Below are 18,169 nucleotides of genomic sequence, written 5' to 3'. Positions count from 1 at the left end.
TGGGCTTTCTGCCTTAGTAAATAATACCTGGTGTTAGCTCATGACTGTGTTGTTAGGTTTCTACTAATTAAGTTGCAAAGCTTATGCTTTGGGCTTATAAAAGCTAATAAATTGACTGCAGGGAAAAACCTTAATGATATTCTCAAATGAGGAAAAATGAAGTAATATTCATAAGATTTAATAGTGTTTTATAATAACAATAAAATAATAATAATGAGATTTGGGGATTTCAAAATTAAGTCTTCCTCCAACGAAAATAGGAATTCAAGATACACCTGACATATTATTATAGTATGACATTAATTTTTAACAAAAAGAGAAGAGAAAACTTGCAAGTAATGAAACACATAGTACTATCTCAAATATTAGAAAACATTGGTTAATCATAAGCCATAATTGTGGTAGTCTCTAAATGTAGCATGAAAAAAAGGAACAGGAAAAGTGTACTGGACTATTCACAACTATTAATATTCATAACTATTTAGAATAGAAAATGACTATTTAAAATATAAAAAAACTTGCATACAAAGAAAACAGAAAAGATACATATACTAGAGATATATTTATAATATCTAGTGATGAAGTACACATAACTGGAAGATATGTCCATTCAAATTCAAAATATAATTAATATGGTTTGGCTGTGTCCCCACCCAAACCTCATCTTGAATGGTACCTCCCATAATCCCCACATGTTGTGAGAGAGACCCAGTGGAAGGTAATTGAATCACGGGGGTGGGTTTTTTCCCATGCTGTTCTCATGATAGTAAGTGAGTTCTCACAAGATCTGATGGTTTTATAAAGGGCAGTTCCCCTGCACATGCTGTCTTGCTTGTCGCCGTGTAAGATGTGGCTTTGCTCTTTCTTCACCTTCTGCCACGATTGTGAAGCTCCCCCAGCCATGTGGAACTGTGAGTCCATTAAACCTCTTTTTCTTTATAAATTACCCAGCTATTTCATAGCTGCATAAAAATGGACTAATATAGCTTTTACCAACAGAGTGGGGTATGGTTATCAATAGAGTGGGCTACTGCTATTAAGACACCTGAAAATGTGGAAGCGACTTTGGAACTGGGTAACGGGCAGAGGTGGGAACAGTTTGGAGGGCTCTGAAGAAGACGGGAATATGTCAGAAAATTTGGAGCTTCCTGGAGACTTGTCAAATGGTTTTGACCAAAAAGTCCAGGCTGAGATGGTCTCAGATGGAGATGAGGAACATATTGGGAACTGGAGCAAAGGTGATTCTTGATATGCTTTAGCAAAGAGACTGGTGGCATTTTGCCCCGCCCTAGAGATCTGTGGAACTTTGAACTTGAGAGAAATGATTTAGGATACCTGGCAGAAGAAATTTCTAAGCAGCAGAGAGTTCAAGATATCACTTGGGTGCTCTTAAAAGCATTCAGTTTTATTAATTCACAAAGATATGGCTTGGAATTGGAGCTTATGTTTAAAAGGGAAGCAGAGCATAAAAGTTCAAAAATTTGCAGGCTGATGATGAAATAGAAAAGAAAAAAAACCTCATTTTCTGAGGAGAAATTCAAGCTGGTGGCAGAAATTTGCATAAGTAATAAGCAGCCAAATGTTAACTGCCAAGACAATGGAGAAAATGCCTCCAGAGCATGTCAGAGGTCTTCCCAGCAGTGCCTCCCATCACCAGCTGGGAAGCCTAGGAGGAAAAAATAGTTTCATGGGGGCCTTGCTGCTTTGTGCTGTTTCAAGGCTTGGTGCTCTGTGTCCCAACCATGGCTAAAAGGGACCAATGTATAGTTCAGGCCATTGTTTCAGAGGGTGCAAGCCCCAAGCCTGTGGCTTACATGTGGTGTTGGGCTTGAAGGTGCAGAGAAGTCAAGGATTGAGGTTTGGGAACCTCCACCTAGATTGCAGAGAATGTATGAAAACACATGGATGTGCAGGCAGGGGCACAGCCTTCATAGAGAACCTCTGCTAGGGTGGTGCAGAAGGGAAATGTGGGGTGGGACCCCCCACACAGTGTCTCCACTTGGGCACTGCCTAGTGGAGCTGTGAGAAGAGGGCTACTCTCCTGCAGACCCCAGAATGGTAGATTCACTGACAGCTTGCACTGTGCATGAGAAAAAGCCACAGACCTTCAAAATCAGCCCATGGAAGCAGCTGGAAGAGAGGCTGTACCCTGCAAAGCCACAGGGATGGAGCTGCCCACCACCATGGGGACCCACCTCTTGCATCAGTGTGACCTGGATGTGAGATATGGAGTCAAAGGAGATCACTTCGGAGCTTTAATATTTGACTGCTCCACTGGATTTCGGACTTGCGTGAGGCCCGTAGCCCCTTTGTTATGGCCAATGTCTCCCATTTGGAATGGCTGTATTTACCCAATTCCTGTGCCTGCATTATATCTAGGAAGTAACTAATTTGCTTTTGATTTTACAGGTTCATAGACAGAAGGGACTTGCCTTGTCTCAGATGAGATTTCAGACTGTGGACTCTTGAGTTAATGCTGAAATGAATGAAGACTTTGGGGGACTGTTGGGAAGGCATGATTGGTTTTGAAATGTGAGGACATGAGATTTGGAAGGGGCCGGGGTGAAATAATATGGTTTGGCATTGTCCTGACCCAAATCTCATTTTGAATTGTAGCTTCCATAATACCCATGCATTGTGGGAGGGACCCAGTGGGAGATAAATTGAATCATGGGGAGGGATTTTTCCCATGCTGTTCTCATGATAGTGAATAAGTCTCACAAGATCTGATGGTTTTATAAAGGGCAGTTCCCCTGCACATGCTCTCTTGCCTGCCACCATGTAAGACGTGGCTTTGCTCCTTCTTCATCTTCTGCCTTGATTGTGAGGCCTCCCCAGCCATGTGGAACTGTGAGTCCATCAAACCTCTTTTTCTATATAAATTACCCTGTCTCAGGTTTTTTTAATAGCAATATGAAAATGGACTAACACAATAATCAATGACTATAATGTAAAATACACACAATACAATGCAAAGCATTTTAGACAGGAAAGTCTGTACAATGGGATATTGCCATCAATTATAGCTACTATGTAGTCTATTAAAGAAAGATCATCCTAGGATTAAAAAAATAGGCTCCACATGTCTCCATTTTGTAAGTAAGTTTTTAACATACATGAGGGACTTACATAAAAATATGTGAAAGAGTGATTATTAAAAATAGAATGATGTATTGTTTGAGCATCTTGATATTGACAATTTTGTACAAAAACGAAGCTGTAAATATGAAAATTTAGATGGATAAACATTTCTCTGGAAATCCTGCACCCTAAAGATCCATGTTGCCAGATGAAAATAAAATGGGAAAGATATTTTATTTTACTTTTTATAAACTTAGTGGAAACTAAAGTAAGTTTAAAAGTCCAAAGATCAATTTGTATGTAATGGAAAAAAGAAAACAAAACATGAAATATAGAATAGTAATCAATATGACACACAGCCTTAAAGTACTAAGGAAAGGCTAAATGAATTAGAAAAGACTAACTAGCCACAATTAAGATAAATTATACAGAAATAGTCCTAGCTTTTGTATCAAATAACATGGATAATCACACCAGAAAGGCTTTAAAGCATTTTTATCTTCTACATTTTGCTTAGCATTTAACCAGTCACCCATTTATTCAATAAATATTGATGAAATACATTCTATATGCTATATAGAGTAAGTAAAATTTAGAAAATTCGATTTCTGGTCTTACAAAAAAGAATATGTAAGTATCATTGAGTGTAAGGTACTATTCAATAGTAATATTAATATTACTCTTTCTATAAGAACATTTAGTCATTTCCCATTAGTTAAAAATGACTCTAATTCTCATGACATCAAAAGCTTGATGAAATATAATAAAATATTTAAGGTTCAGATTCGACCTTCTTTAAATTTATAATCTTACAGTTTTTCAAGATTGAAAGGTACAATAAAATTTAGGCTTTATTGAATTTATTAGTTGTGGACAATGACAATAAATGTTTAACTTCAGCAAACAAAAAACTACATGCCTAAAAGTCCTAATAAGAAAAACAATAAGCAAAAACTCAGCACAAAATCTTGATCAACATAATTGGGAGAAAAAACAATGAAAATGAGTAATGTAAATTACTTTAGCTGTTACACTTTAACACTTTTATGGAAAAATACTTTGAAGAAAGTGCAAAATCACAGCAATGTCTGAAAAGATATTAAACATATTATTAGCTTAAAAATGTGTTTTGGGATCAGAAGCTTTTCAGGTAACATTTCTACAATTTGTTACTAAACAAGCATCTGTACAAGAATCTGATTTCCCAAGAACATGTCAAAGTGCTTTATGTTAATAGTTGAGTGGGCACATCATTTTAATTCTGTTTGTTTCTGTTTCCTGTGACTCATATGCTTCCACTTTCTTAGAAGCATATTACATTTGGTGACTTACCAGATATATTTGATATCAGATACCTTAGCATTCACCTTCTGTAATTGTGAATGTATGGCCTTTTAATAACATTTAGGTACCTCTTAAGGTATCCACCTCCTCTTACGGAGTTGAGACATTTGATTTTCAACAGTTTCTATGGCTACTGTCAGATTACGCAGTGTTTTTCACCTTGGATGTAAAGTAAACTAGGGAGGAAGCTGTGGTTTCGCTAGGCAAGCACAGCACCTTGGAGGTGGGTTTAGTTTTTGTTTCCTGTAAGAATATTCATTAACTACAAGCCCTCTGGTTCTTATAATTAATGACTGTGCTCAGTACACAATTAATTCCTCCTATTGCGGAGGGAGTTTCATTATTAATGCTGTTGCTGTGAGTGTGTGATTTTTCTCCTGTGTCAGTGCCAGAATCTTTGTAGTAGGCTGGTAGGTCACAAAAAAACAGTTGACAGGCTAATTCTGTTAGGTCATGAGAACCAAATCTTGCTAAACAAATCTCATTCAGATGGTTATAGTCAATTACATACTGTTTCTATTTGACTTCTTTCTCATGCTGTCACTTCAGGGGGGAAAAATGTTTCCTTCTCATGCTCAGCATTGGTAAGGTTGGGCCATACCAGATATGTAGGACAGGGTCTTTCTTTTAGTGGTTGAGTAGCAGCAATTATTTATATGATTAAAAAACATAATTGTTGTTGAGCTATGTAAGCATCCATACTGGTAGATGATATATTAAATATCCACCTATTTATCTTTTTTAAATCAATAGAGAAAAGATAACTTGTGAATGATAAAAATTGGGTTGTACACTGAGTTTTTTAATGAATAAAGCAAAAGGAAAAAAAACAGTAATCCTGAAACTTGCAAACAGACAAGTTTCATACAATAAACCCGACTGGGACGCTCCCAGGAATCAAACTAACTGCATGCCTAGAACATCCTTGCCCTACCCGAAACCTTTCTGCATGGTTAACATCAATTGAGATGGTTTCTCTTTCTAGACGCTTTCCCTGGTCCCCTTAGATTGGATTTGTTGCAAGTGTCAAGTGGTCCCATTGTATCCTGTGTATAACACTATCATAACAATTACTCACTATACATAAATCTCTGTGGTAGGCAGAATAATACACACCCCTTTCCCCCAAGGTGTCCATATGCTAATTCCCTGTATCCATGAATATGTACCTTACATGGCAAAAGGGACTTGGCAACTGTGATTAAAGTTAAGCACCTTGAGATAGAGAGATTTTTCTGATTATCCAGGTAGGTCCAACGGAGTTACATAGTCAGAAAGATGCAGGGAGAACTCAACACAATGTAGCTGGCTTTAAAGATGGAGGATGATGAGTCAAGAAATGCAGTGGCTTCTAGAAGCTGGGAATGGGCCTCAGTTTACAGACATCAAGAAAACAGAGACCTCAGTCCTACAACTGCAAGAAAATGAATTCTGCCAGCATCTTGGATTAGCAGGAAATGGATTATCCTGTTGATCCTCCAGAAAGAAACATAGCCTGCTTTTAAGCCCACTGTTTGAAGAGCACAAAATTCAGGCAAAGCCTATTCACATATATAAATTATTATTCTTTAATATTAATAATAGCTGGAATGTTTTAGGATATATTTAATAGATTTTACACCATAACCTAGAAAATTTGGGGGATAATAATGCACTTCAGATTTATCCTCAATGTCTCCATCAATAGTATTGAGACAACCATGCAACTAGCTATCTTGATCCCCTAACTGCGTTTTTATTCTTGAAGTAGATAACACAATGGAAGTAAATTAATATGACTCACTTTAACTAAAAATGAATATGTTAGGCTATAGTTAGAGACATCATGTTTATCAACCAAATGGAATATTCAGTCAAAGACTTCAGTATATATAATAAAATGTAGATATTTCAAATTATTTCAGAATTTTAGTGAATTTATATCTCATTAAAAAAAATCTTTCTTAGGTTTCCATACCACCCAAACTAAAGCAAAGATCCCAAAGTGATGTAAGAAAAGAAAAATGAATCATTTGCTTTCTGTGTTACTGAATGAATATTTTATTTTATTTCATTTTTACCTTTTAGAAGAGATTGAAATTCTCTGCTTTTATCTTCGCTGACTTTTCCTTCTAGGGAGGAGTAAGTGTTCCTTACATCATTCACAGTCAAAGAAATATTGTCAATCTTCTTCTGCAGAAGAGTCAGTTTCATTGCCTGGTAGTTCACCTGATCAGTCATTTTTTGCATCACTTCTGCATATAGAAGAGAAAATTGAGACCATTAAAAAATATATTTTGACCCATAGTTGGTATCATACTGAATGGAGAAAAACTAAAACCCTTTCTTCTGTAAGCTGGAGCACAACAAAGATGCTCACTTTCACCACTATTTTTCAACAAAGCACTAGAAGCTCTAGCTAGAGCTATCAGACAAGACAAAGGAATAAAGGGCATTCAAATTAGAAAGGAAGGGGTCAAATTATCCTTCTCTGCAGATGATATGACCTTATATTTGGAAAAACCTGAAGACTCCACCAAAAAACTATTAGAATAGATAAATGAATTCAGTAAAATTGCAGGATACAAAACCAACATATGAAACTCAGTAGCATTTTTATATGCCAGCAGTGAATAATCTGAGAAAGAAAAAAAAGTAATCTCATTTACAATAGCCACACACAAAGTTAAATACATAAGGATTCAATTAACCAAAGAAGTGGAAGGTCACTATAATGAAAACTATAAAACACTAATGAAAGAAATTGAAGATATGCCGTGTTCATGAATTGGAAGAATAAATATTGTTAAAATGTCCATACTATCCAAAGCAACCTACAGATTCAATGCAATCCCTATCAAAACACTAATGACATTCTTCACAGAAATACAAAAAAAAAAATCCTAAAATTTATATGGAACAACAAAAGACCCAGAATAACCAAAGCTTACCTAAGCAAAAAGAACAACTGAAGGAACAACTGGAGGAATCATACTACCTGACTTCAAATTATAACACAGAGCTGTAGTAACCAAAACAGTATGGTACTGGCATAAAAATAGACAAATACACCAATGGAATAGAATAGAGAACCCAGAAACAAATCCATGTATCTACAGTGAGCTCATTTTCAACAAAGGTGCCAAAAACCAGGGAAAAGACAGTCTCTTTAATAAATGGTGCTGGGGAAATTGGATGTCCATATGCAGAATAATGACTCTAGACCTCTGTCTCTTACTATGCACAAAAATCAAATAAAAAAGGATTAGCTCTTTAAGTCTAAGACCTCAAAACATGAAACTACTATAAGAAAACATTGGAGAAAGTATCTAGGACATTTGGTCTAGGCAAAAATTTCTTGAGTAATACCCCACAACCACAGGCACTCAAAGCAAAAATGGACAGATGGGATCACATCAAGTTAAAAAGCTTCTGCACAGCAAAAGAAACAACCAACAAAGTCAAGACACAACCCACAGAATGAGAGAAAAATCTTTGCAAACCACCCATCTGACAAGGGACTAATAATCAAAATATAAAAGAAGGTCAAACAAGCCTATAGGAAAACACCCGATAATCCAATCAAAACAGGGCAAAAGATTTGAATATACATTTTTCAAAAGAAGACATACATATGGCAAACAGGCATATAAAAAGGTGCTTAACATAACTGATCATCAGAGAAACTCAAACCAAAACTACTATGCGATATCATCTCACCTCAGTTAAAATGGCTTATATCCAAAGGACAGGAAATAACAAATGCTGGCAAGGATATGGAGAAAGGGAACCCCCCCATACCCTGTTGGTAGGAATGTAAGTTAGTACAACCACTACGGAGAACAGTTTGGAGGTTCCTCAAAAACTAAAAATAGAGCTACCATATGATCTAGCAATCCCACTTCCACGTATACACACAAAAGAAAGGAAATCTGTATATCCAAGAAGTATCTGCACTCCCATGTATATTGCCAGCACTATTCACAATAGCCAAGATATGGAAGAAACATACATGACCATCAACAGATGAATGGATAAAGAAAATGTGGTATATATACACAATGGAGTATTATTCAGCCATAAAAAACAAAGCAACAACATGGATGGAACTGGAGATCGTTATGCTAAGGGAAATAAGCCAGGAACAGAAAGACAAGCATCGCATGTTCTCATGTATTTGTGGGATCTAAACATCAAAACAATTGAACTCAAGGAGATAGAGAGTACAAGGATGGTTATCAGAGGATGGGAAGGATAATGGCTGATTGGAGTGAGGTGGGGATGGTTCACCTCCCAGGTTCAAGCGATTCCCCTGCCTCAGCCTTCCCAGTAGCTGGGACTACAGGTGCATGCCACCACGTGTGGCTAATTTTTTTTATTTGAGTAGAGACAGGGTTTCACCATGTTGGCCAGGATGTTCTTGATCTCCTGACCTCGTGATCCACCCGCCTTGGCCTCCCAAAGTGTTGGGATTACAGGCGTGAGCCACCACACCCAGCCTAAAACCACTTAAATTTTTAATTAAAAATTAAATATATATATATATATTAAAAATATAAATAAAAATTTGTTTTTTATTTGGGTATAAAAAAATTGTTAGAGACTAAGTCACAGTGGCTCACGGCTGTAGTCCCAGCACTTTGGGAGGCTGAGGCAGGTGGATTGCTTTGGCCCAGAGATTCAAGACTAGCCTGGGCAACATGGCTAAACCTCGTCTCTACAAAAAAAAAAAAAAAAAAAAAAAAAATTAACCAGGCATGGTGGGACGTGCCTGTATTCCCAGCTGCTTGGGCACTGAGGCAGGAGGATTGGTTGAGCTCTGGAGATGGAGGCTGTAGTGATGCATGATCACTCCACTGCACTCCTGCCTGGGTGCAGACCCTGTCTCTAAAAATAAATAAATAAATAAATAATAAAAAAGAATAGCAAAAGAAAGAATGAATAAGATCTACTATTTAATAGCACAATGTGGTGACTATAGTCAATAATAATTTAATTGTACATTTTAAAATAACTAAGAGAATATAATTGGATTGTTTGTAACCGAAAGGATAAATGCTTGAGGGGATGGATACCTCATTCTCCATTATGTGATTATTACACATTGTGTACCTGTATCAAAACAGTACATACACCTACTATGTACCCACAAAAACTGAAAGTTAAATATATATATTTAAAAACACTTAATTTTTAATTTTTTATTTTTGAGACAGTCTCGCTCTGTCACCAGGCTGCAGTGCAGCGGCATGATCTTGGCTCACTGCAACCTCTGCCTCCCGGGTTCAAGCGATTCTCCTGCCTCAGCCTCCCAAGTAGCTAGGATTACAGGCACACACCACCACGTTAGACTAATTTTTTTTTATTTTAGTAGAGACGGGGTTTCACCATATAGGCCAGGATGTTTTCGATCTTCTCACCTCATGATCCACCCGCCTCGGCCTCCCAAATTGCTGGGATTATAGGCATAAGCCACTGTGCCCAGCTTAAAATCACTTAAATTTTTAATTAAAAATTAATATATATATATTTAAAAATCACTTAAATTTCATGATAGGTTTGAAGGTAATTCAAACAAACTATATTTGCAGGAATACATTTGAAAATACAAGACTATATTCATTCAGGAAATGGCAACTTGAATGTTAAGACTAAGTGTAGAAATTTGTAAAGAGTAGTATAATAGCTTAGATTTCTAAAATGTTTTAACTTTTCCCAGAATTTTCAGTGTTTTAAAAAAATTATTTCAAAGAGTTACTGTTACACTCTCAAAAAGAAACAAAGGGGCAGAAATCCAAAATAACTTGCTCGCAGTTACAGAGCTGATGGCTCATCTTCTGCTTCCAAATTCAATACCTCAGCATTTAAAATATGCAGCTAGATATATGTATGTAGTTGTAGCTATGTTCTGAGAATTTTATTGTTTACTGAGGTATTCGTTAATCAAAGATAAAGAGACTCATAATTTAGTTTGAATCACTTTATATAGCAATAATACTGTCTATCCCTTTACACATGTATTGCAGTAATTCAAGAATATTATGGTCTTTTATAAAGATACTGAATTTCAATCCCTTAAAAAATTACACCACCATTGTTAAGGGATATTCAGCTGCATTCTTAAAGACAGCCCTTTAAGTCACATTTCTTAATTGAGTGCCTTGTTTTGTATGACTAGATCCATGCCAAACACAGTGAATAGATGTTTTTAGCAGTAACCAACCTTATGTTTGTAAAAGCTAAAGTTTAGCCTAAAAGAAATGGCAAAAACTGATTAGAAAGATGGAAAAATATGTGACATGCCAACTTTGGATCAGCAGGAGGTTCTTGTTGATTCTTAGTCATAATCCCATTTCTTAGGGATCAGTACCCATTAAGCAACCTCTTATTAATGAATTGAAGAGAGCCTTCTTAGATCCCTTAAAAGAATAAGTTGTTCCTTCCATGTCAAGGGTCTTCCATAATGACACTCTTTGGAGAACAAAAGTTTGGTCTTATTTTGGAAAACTGTGGTTTCCTTACAACCTAGTATCACAGCATTTTTATTCTTTCTGTGTTTGCACACAAAGCTTCTGTAGTTATACATGGTCTTTTCAGTACCTATTATAGCTTATCCACAATTTCTCCCAACATCCAGCACCAGTAGAAAAGGACTGAGAAGTATGCTAATGTGTCACCATCAATCATTTGACAACTAAGAGATTTCTTGCTTGGAAGTTGTAATAAATAGCATTGACAATAATTGGGTCAGAGATGATAGTAATTACAATCTATGACCTGGGTCACCACAGCCTTGCTGCTGCTGCTGCTCAGCTACTCCTCTGCCAACAGCTGTATGACTTTCAGCCTGGTTGGTGTGTATCAAACTTTGCTGTTCCTGGGCTAGAAGGAAGCAGAAAGAGAAGAGAGACAGTTAAGCACTGGGACAGCCTCATTTTTTCCAGTCCTGAACAATAATTTGGCTGACATTCATTTTCCCGCGTACTGAAGCATGATGGTCGGGGATGATTGCAGAGTAAGCTGCTCCGCCCCCAACCATAGGGCAATGCAACACCACATTGGAGTGGGAAATGCAGGACTCTAATTCTGCTTGGAAAAAAAAATAAAATTATTCAGGCCTCCTTTCCGTGAAAAGGGATGGTAGTTTGGAGGAGCTGTGTAAACTAGCAGATGTAAATTGCCTGCATAATTGAGGGGATTTTTAAATCCGCTGTGTTAAAAGCTATAGCATTCTTATAAGTGGACTGCCACAAAGGCTGATTGTTTAACAAGGCAATTCCCAACTGGTGTCTACTTGGAAAAAAGGGAGAGCTACAGGTTCCTTACTAAAATAAAAATAGCTATTTCATTAATAGTGCCACTTAAATGGATTGTTTCCAGATTTTGATAGTCTCAAACTGGACTAAAAATAAAAGTAAACTATTGCAGGCACATTTCAAGCAAATCAACTGGTAAAGTCAGTGAAATTTCAATAGAAATTCTTGTAAAATAAATCTACTCTACTGAAGAATTTACCATGAATCAAGTAATATTTTAAATGGCAAGTAATAATTCCCATGAATCAAATAATATTTTAAATGGCAATATAGTTTTTCATTGGGGAAAACAATTTAGAGAAATGATCTATTTAAAATATTGAGTACAGGCCAGGTGCGGTGGCTCACACCTGTAATCCCAGCACTTTGGGAGGCTGAGGCAGGTGGATCACTTGAGGTCGGAGCTCAAGACCAGCCTGGCCAACATAGTGAAAGCCCGTCTCTACTAAAAATACAAAAATTAGTCAGATGTGGTGGCTCAGGTGCCTGTAATTCCAGCTACTTGGGAGGCTGAGGCAGGAGAGTCTATTGAACCCGGGAGGCGGAGGTTGCAGTGAGCCGAGATGGCATCACTGCACTCCAGCTGGGGGATAGAGCAGGACTCTGCCAATCAATCAATCAATCAATCAATCAATAATTAAAATAAAAATAAATAAAATAAAATATTGAGAACATCAAATAATATGGCTTTAATTTGCAGACTTCTAACAAACAAATTTATCCATTAAAGTCTGCATGACAGACATGAGGAAACAAGTGTTTTGTGTCTAGCCGTGCTTCTTCCCAGGTGAGTTTATGAACCAATGAAACTCTGCATCTCTGGCACATGTTAATTATGCTCCCTAAGCCATATGTGGCTTTGACTATAATACTTAAGCTTCTCTACTCCACAGGAAGTATATTTGGCATTAATTTGGGTGAGTCTATATTGTTAGATTGAATTTTGCATTGTTTTTCTTCAGGGCATTGAGCTAAATTAATGAATTTCCATTCATGTCCAAGATTTTTGTTTTGATGCTGTTTCTTTTTGATTTTCATTTCCTCTGCTGTATTCTATAAAGTCCTGTGTAATTGTTGACTTATCTGATGGACAAAAGCAATCTGCAGCTTGGGGAATAGTGTAATTATTTAGGGGATGGATTGCGTGGGGAAAAGTGTAAATCTTCTTCTAAGACCTAGCAATAAGGTTATTATAGTGTAAGTTTAAATTAATTCATACAGATACAACCATTTAATCATTGCATAAATTTTTATCACGATTCCTCCTTAAATGGTGTACTAAGGCATTTTATTCTGGCAGCTTAAATGTACATCCATCCAAGAGTATAACTAGAGAGTAAAGCAATGGTTCTCAGACTGGGGTCCTTTAATCAGCAGTATGAGCATCACCTGGAAACTTTTGGAGGTAGAACTTCTAGAGTCCCACCTTAGATCTATTAATTTAAATATGAATGTTAAGGATACTAACTTATAAATATTTATAGCAGTAAGAACAGGTGAATTTAACAGGATGAACAATGATCTTTTCATTTATTTGCTGCTTACCTTTTTGGCTAGATCATAGGAAAAAAAAAGAGCTGGTGCATTTGAAGGTAGTACCATAACTCAGTAGGCTGTGGATACTTTGTTAGGAAGGGAAGCATAATTATAGTGAAAGCAAAGATAATATTGTTTTGTTGAATACAAACAAGATTACTATTCGAATTTCCTTTTCTATCATTAACTTTTATTATAACACATATTTCTTTACATCCCATTAGAATACTGATTTTTTTCCTCGTAGATGGAAATGAGAAGTTCCTGTATACTTTGAAACATTAAGTGTCCATGTTCTTTCCACTCCCTCACCTGAGATTCTCATTCAGTAGCTCTATTTTGAGGAATGGGGCAGGTGCGTATTTAAAAAAAACAAACAAACAAAAAAAACAAAACTCTACAGGTGATTTCTATATATGGCCCTGGTTAGGAACACTAATTTTGAACAAATTGCTAAGCTTTCTACTTCTAAGAGGTAAATTCATTGTTATAATGCAGAAAATACTAGATATATTAATACTAAAATTGCAATCCAGAAATCAATCTTCATAGACTTTTAAACAGCATTCCTGTTAATAACAAAGGTGTGTGTTGAAGACAGATTTAATAAAGTTTAAGAAATGAAAACCTTGAGTCTCATACAATTCCTTAAAGAGTAAGTGAAGTGGGATGGGGGTGGAAGGTACCTTTCACAGCTTCCTGATTTCCTCATGCAGATATTACCATTCTTTCTATTGTTATAACACAAGATCCCTAAAGAGGCACTGTTAAGCATGGAAACATATGAAGAGTGTTTGTGCTGCCTTCACAGCAATCAAATCTACAGCCCAATGACAATTTTAGAATGTCTCAGAAATAAAATCACTTTCCACTCAAAAGCCAGACTGTTGCTCCTTACTCCCATCTAGCAACATTGCACATTCCCCAACTCCATGATTGTGTTTTGCCAGTATGTAGCAATGTGGTCGGCCAATTGTTAAAATATTGAAATATAATAAAGCCACAACTGTTGGCAAATATATAATGCTGAAGTCCAATAACTGACAAGCTGAGTTATACAAATTATAATATTAACTAATTACAAGTTAATCATGGATACATGATAAAGGATGTATTTTGTAGGATATGTGATGAATGGAATTCCTACTGTGGCAACATCTGAAAACTATTTTTCAGAATTAGCATTTTGTTGGACTGATGTCAGGCAGTGCATAGATTTTGTGAAACAGTCAGTGTTTTAGTAGAATGAACAGTTTATCATTGCTTATGATTTTTGTATTTGCTACAACTTCTGAATAGTTTGATGCTCAATTTATTTTACTTATTAGCATGTGCTAATTGTTCTAAATGCATAGTTATTTGATAATTATGGTCCAGAAGTTTATAGTAAATTATCAAAGACACTGAAAAAGAAACAAAAGTTTAACCAAATTTTAAAAGCATTTGTTTCGGGTATCTTGAGTATGAATTTTTTGAATTTTTGAATCTGAGAATAAAACAAAAATTGTATCACTTAGGAACCTAGTCCTAAATTAGGTAATGATACTCTGCAAACTCAGTTAGTCTGGAACATCTTTTAATATGTACAACATCTAAATAATACCAAATAATTATAAAAAATAAATTCAATATAAAATAAATAAGTTACATTTCTGGAATGAAAATCAACTTGATTTTCAATATTGGTAGATTATTTTTTCTTGCTAGGTAAACGTTGGATTCAAACAATCCTACAAATTTGTATAATATAGAAATAAAATTATTAGACTCATTTTTCATCATAATGGCATTCACCCACTATGTTAAAGATCGTTTGCAACCATGAATCATGAAGAAAATATTAAAAAATGTTATGAAATTAGCCTCACAAAATAAGTATTCCTAATAATAAAAATGTTCAATGAAATCAATTGAAGTAAAAAACTTAAAAAATACTTTATCCGATAATGTTAATAAAGTGCCCATAAAATAATAAAATATTTAGAAAAAATCAGAATTTTAAATTATTTCTTTTTTAAAATAATAAGAGCATTTAAAAATAATAGAGCATTTTAGAAAAGAAAAGTATTACAGAACTTACCTAATATAATAATTCTGATCTAGGAATATCATTGCAAATGAGTTTTATGATACTGCTTTTTGTAAGACAACTTCTTAGAAAACTTAAAAGTCAACTTAATAAAATTTAAAAGTATTATTAATGAAACTTGAACTCTTTCATATACAAGTATTTTCATAATTTTCCTAAAACGTAAAAATCAAGAATTTTAAAGCAGTTAATTTTTTTAAATCTCAGTAAATTAGAAGGAAAAACATCTTTAATGCTACATTAGTAATGTAGTAATACATATGAACACTTGAGAAAGGAATTTTCCACAAAATTTGTGTATGTGAAAATTTAATTTTTTACATAGGTGAAGCCTGTGCAATAATAGTGAAAAAGTAAACCAGGAGTTCCAGGCAAAGTTTTAGATAGACTTCTGCTTTTTAAAAATTTTGGCACTATAAGCTACTGTATTCAAATATTTCTGACTGAAAGTATAATGTGTTATCAAGTAAACACTTGAAATCTTTTCTAGATGAATTTCATATTTACTGCTATATATCAAATAAAGAAGAGACAATAAAAGTAGACGAGAGGGAGAGAGAAAGATGGAAAGAGAGATGGAAAGCAAGAGCACATGCTAAAAATTAAAATAATAAAAATTGGAAGAATATTTGGACTTCAAAGATAGCCTGTGATGTTACAGCTAAAAAGGCATTTTGTAAATTATATCAAGCCCTATGAATTCACTTTCATATAAATTGTGAAATTTAACATTTGGAAAATAGACTTTTTTAAAAAATAACTGATTTTCAGAGATGACACTCTAACAGAAATGCCAATCCTTTTTCAGCTTTACGAGAAAAGAAAATTCCCCTTATTAAACTGGAGATAGTTAAAAAACTGATCAAAGATAGTATAGATATAAAAATTTCATGTATTCTATAAATATACATTTGAAACTTATATATTCTATTTTAAATGAATATATATTAATTGAAATATATAGATGTATATATACTATTTGAAACAAAAATTAGTAAAAGGCCAATTATGTAAGAAAAAGATTTTCTAATGAATTGTTTGAAAATAAAATTTATATGACAAAACTAAAAAAATGCAATAAATATTCATTGATTTATGCTGCCAGATGAATTTGGCCTAATGACGTTAACAAAGCTCTATAAACTAATTAAATAGGATATTTAGATAAGAATTTTCATGATTTAGTTAATAATAAAGACAGTAAACATTCAAAAATACACACAGTATTTAAGTGCTGATAAAAATTGAATGCAATCACTTTTTATTCAGGAAAGCCCAATAGATAATTCAGCAGGAGGATAATTTAACTGATGTTAATAAAATTACAAACTTATTGAGACCTCATGTCACCCAGTGACTCTAAATCTGATGGGTAAATCATTAAAGGAGGTTGAGAGGGTTCCCTATATTAAATTACCTCTCTGACAAGGACATCATTTAGCTGGTATCATCCATGGCAAAAGAAAGACGACATCAATATAATTTGTAGAAATCAATAAATTGCTTAGAAATTATTAGAATGATATGAGTGATTTTTGGTATGATGTATATTACTTGGTCTGTAGTTTTAGACTGTATTATAGACAATGCTCTAATTTAAGAAAATAAAAAGTAATGCATTCTTAATTTTTGATTTATATACAATATTGACTGTGGCTGCTGCCCCTTCCCACCAATCATCATAATCAAGAGGCAGATTGGTTTGGGTGCTCGTGATCCCGAAGTGGAGAGACCTCAATACAAATCACAAAAGCATTTTACACAGGATTTATTTCCAGGGGTTCAAAATACTTTGGTAAAGCTTTATTATAAATAGTGACATGTTATTTTAAGTTGCATTTTATAATGGAATTGTAATCAGGTCTCTTAATTTTACTTCTTACAAAGTATTACATGCTGCATATTTAATATGAAGATTATAACAATGTTTTACTTAACATCCTTCAAAGACTGGGGAAACAAGGGCAAGGGCTCTCTCTGTCTCTTTCACACATACACACACACACAAACACACACACGAGGATGTGTGGGGGGATTTTAACTCTTCTAGGATCCTATTTGAGACTTCAGTAGGAGCATGTCATCAAGATATAGTTCCCTCCGTGCTACCCAGTCTAGGAAAGATCCTGAATGTTCAAGAAGTAAAAATTTACCTAGGTGAGAGGTAAAGTGTCAAGAATAGAAAGGAAGCAAATGAAGAGCATCAAAGTTTAATTTTCTATTGACCTCAGGGTCAAAAGAATTTGAGACATATATCATTCATGTGATCTTGGAAAATGTTATTCCATTAAAAAAGGGAATAGACAGTGATATGCGGGAGATAATCAATAGATTGAAAATAGTAACCAAAAACGTAAGAAAAAACTTTAAAATCAGTGAGAAGAAGGAGAGGAGAGAGTAAATTGAAAAGCTGTCAGAAAGAAAAAAAACAAGCAATTGAAAAAGATAAAAAATAAACATACATAGAAGTATCAAGTGAAAATCTAGTTTTCCTGCACACTAAAATTTGATGATTCATTCCTCAGTATATGAAAATAATATATATAAAATGAGAAAAATTAAGCTTTTTTCATATTTTATAGTTTCAACATCACTAATTTGAAAGAAAATGTGATTAACTTTTTTAGTATTAAATGTCAAAAATTAATGTAATTGCATGTGGGCACATGCATGTTCATAAAGTTTCCCATTTGCTTTTAGCAGCATTGTTAAATTTATTGTTTGTTTGTTTGTTTTTTTTTTTTCAGAATCTAAGTGAGAAAACTGTACTCCTGAATAAAAGAAACAACTATTAAGCATCACACAAAGATCCTTGAGATCCAAT

The 18,169-nt window shown here is 34.6% G+C and overlaps 1 protein-coding gene across 4 annotated transcripts in view; it reads right to left on the bottom strand.

Moving 5' to 3' along the window:
* The window catches only part of MMRN1 (multimerin 1), a 75,104-nt gene that overhangs the window by 20,161 nt on the left and 36,774 nt on the right, over positions 1-18,169 (bottom strand). For 3 of the 4 annotated variants that reach the window (NM_001371403.1, NM_007351.3, NM_001410735.1), the window contains 2 exons: positions 11,182-11,286; positions 6,486-6,659 (listed from right to left, as the gene is read on the bottom strand). In NM_001371403.1, coding sequence (NP_001358332.1) covers positions 6,486-6,659; positions 11,182-11,286 — 279 coding nt within the window. The remainder of the gene's footprint in view (positions 1-6,485; positions 6,660-11,181; positions 11,287-18,169) is intronic. The other variant, XM_047449831.1, reaches the window with a different exon arrangement.

The sequence above is a fragment of the Homo sapiens genome, chromosome 4, assembly GCF_000001405.40.
Source record: "Homo sapiens chromosome 4, GRCh38.p14 Primary Assembly".
NCBI classification, from domain to species: Eukaryota; Metazoa; Chordata; class Mammalia; order Primates; family Hominidae; genus Homo; species Homo sapiens.
This window is presented reverse-complemented; position numbering and strand designations above follow the sequence as displayed.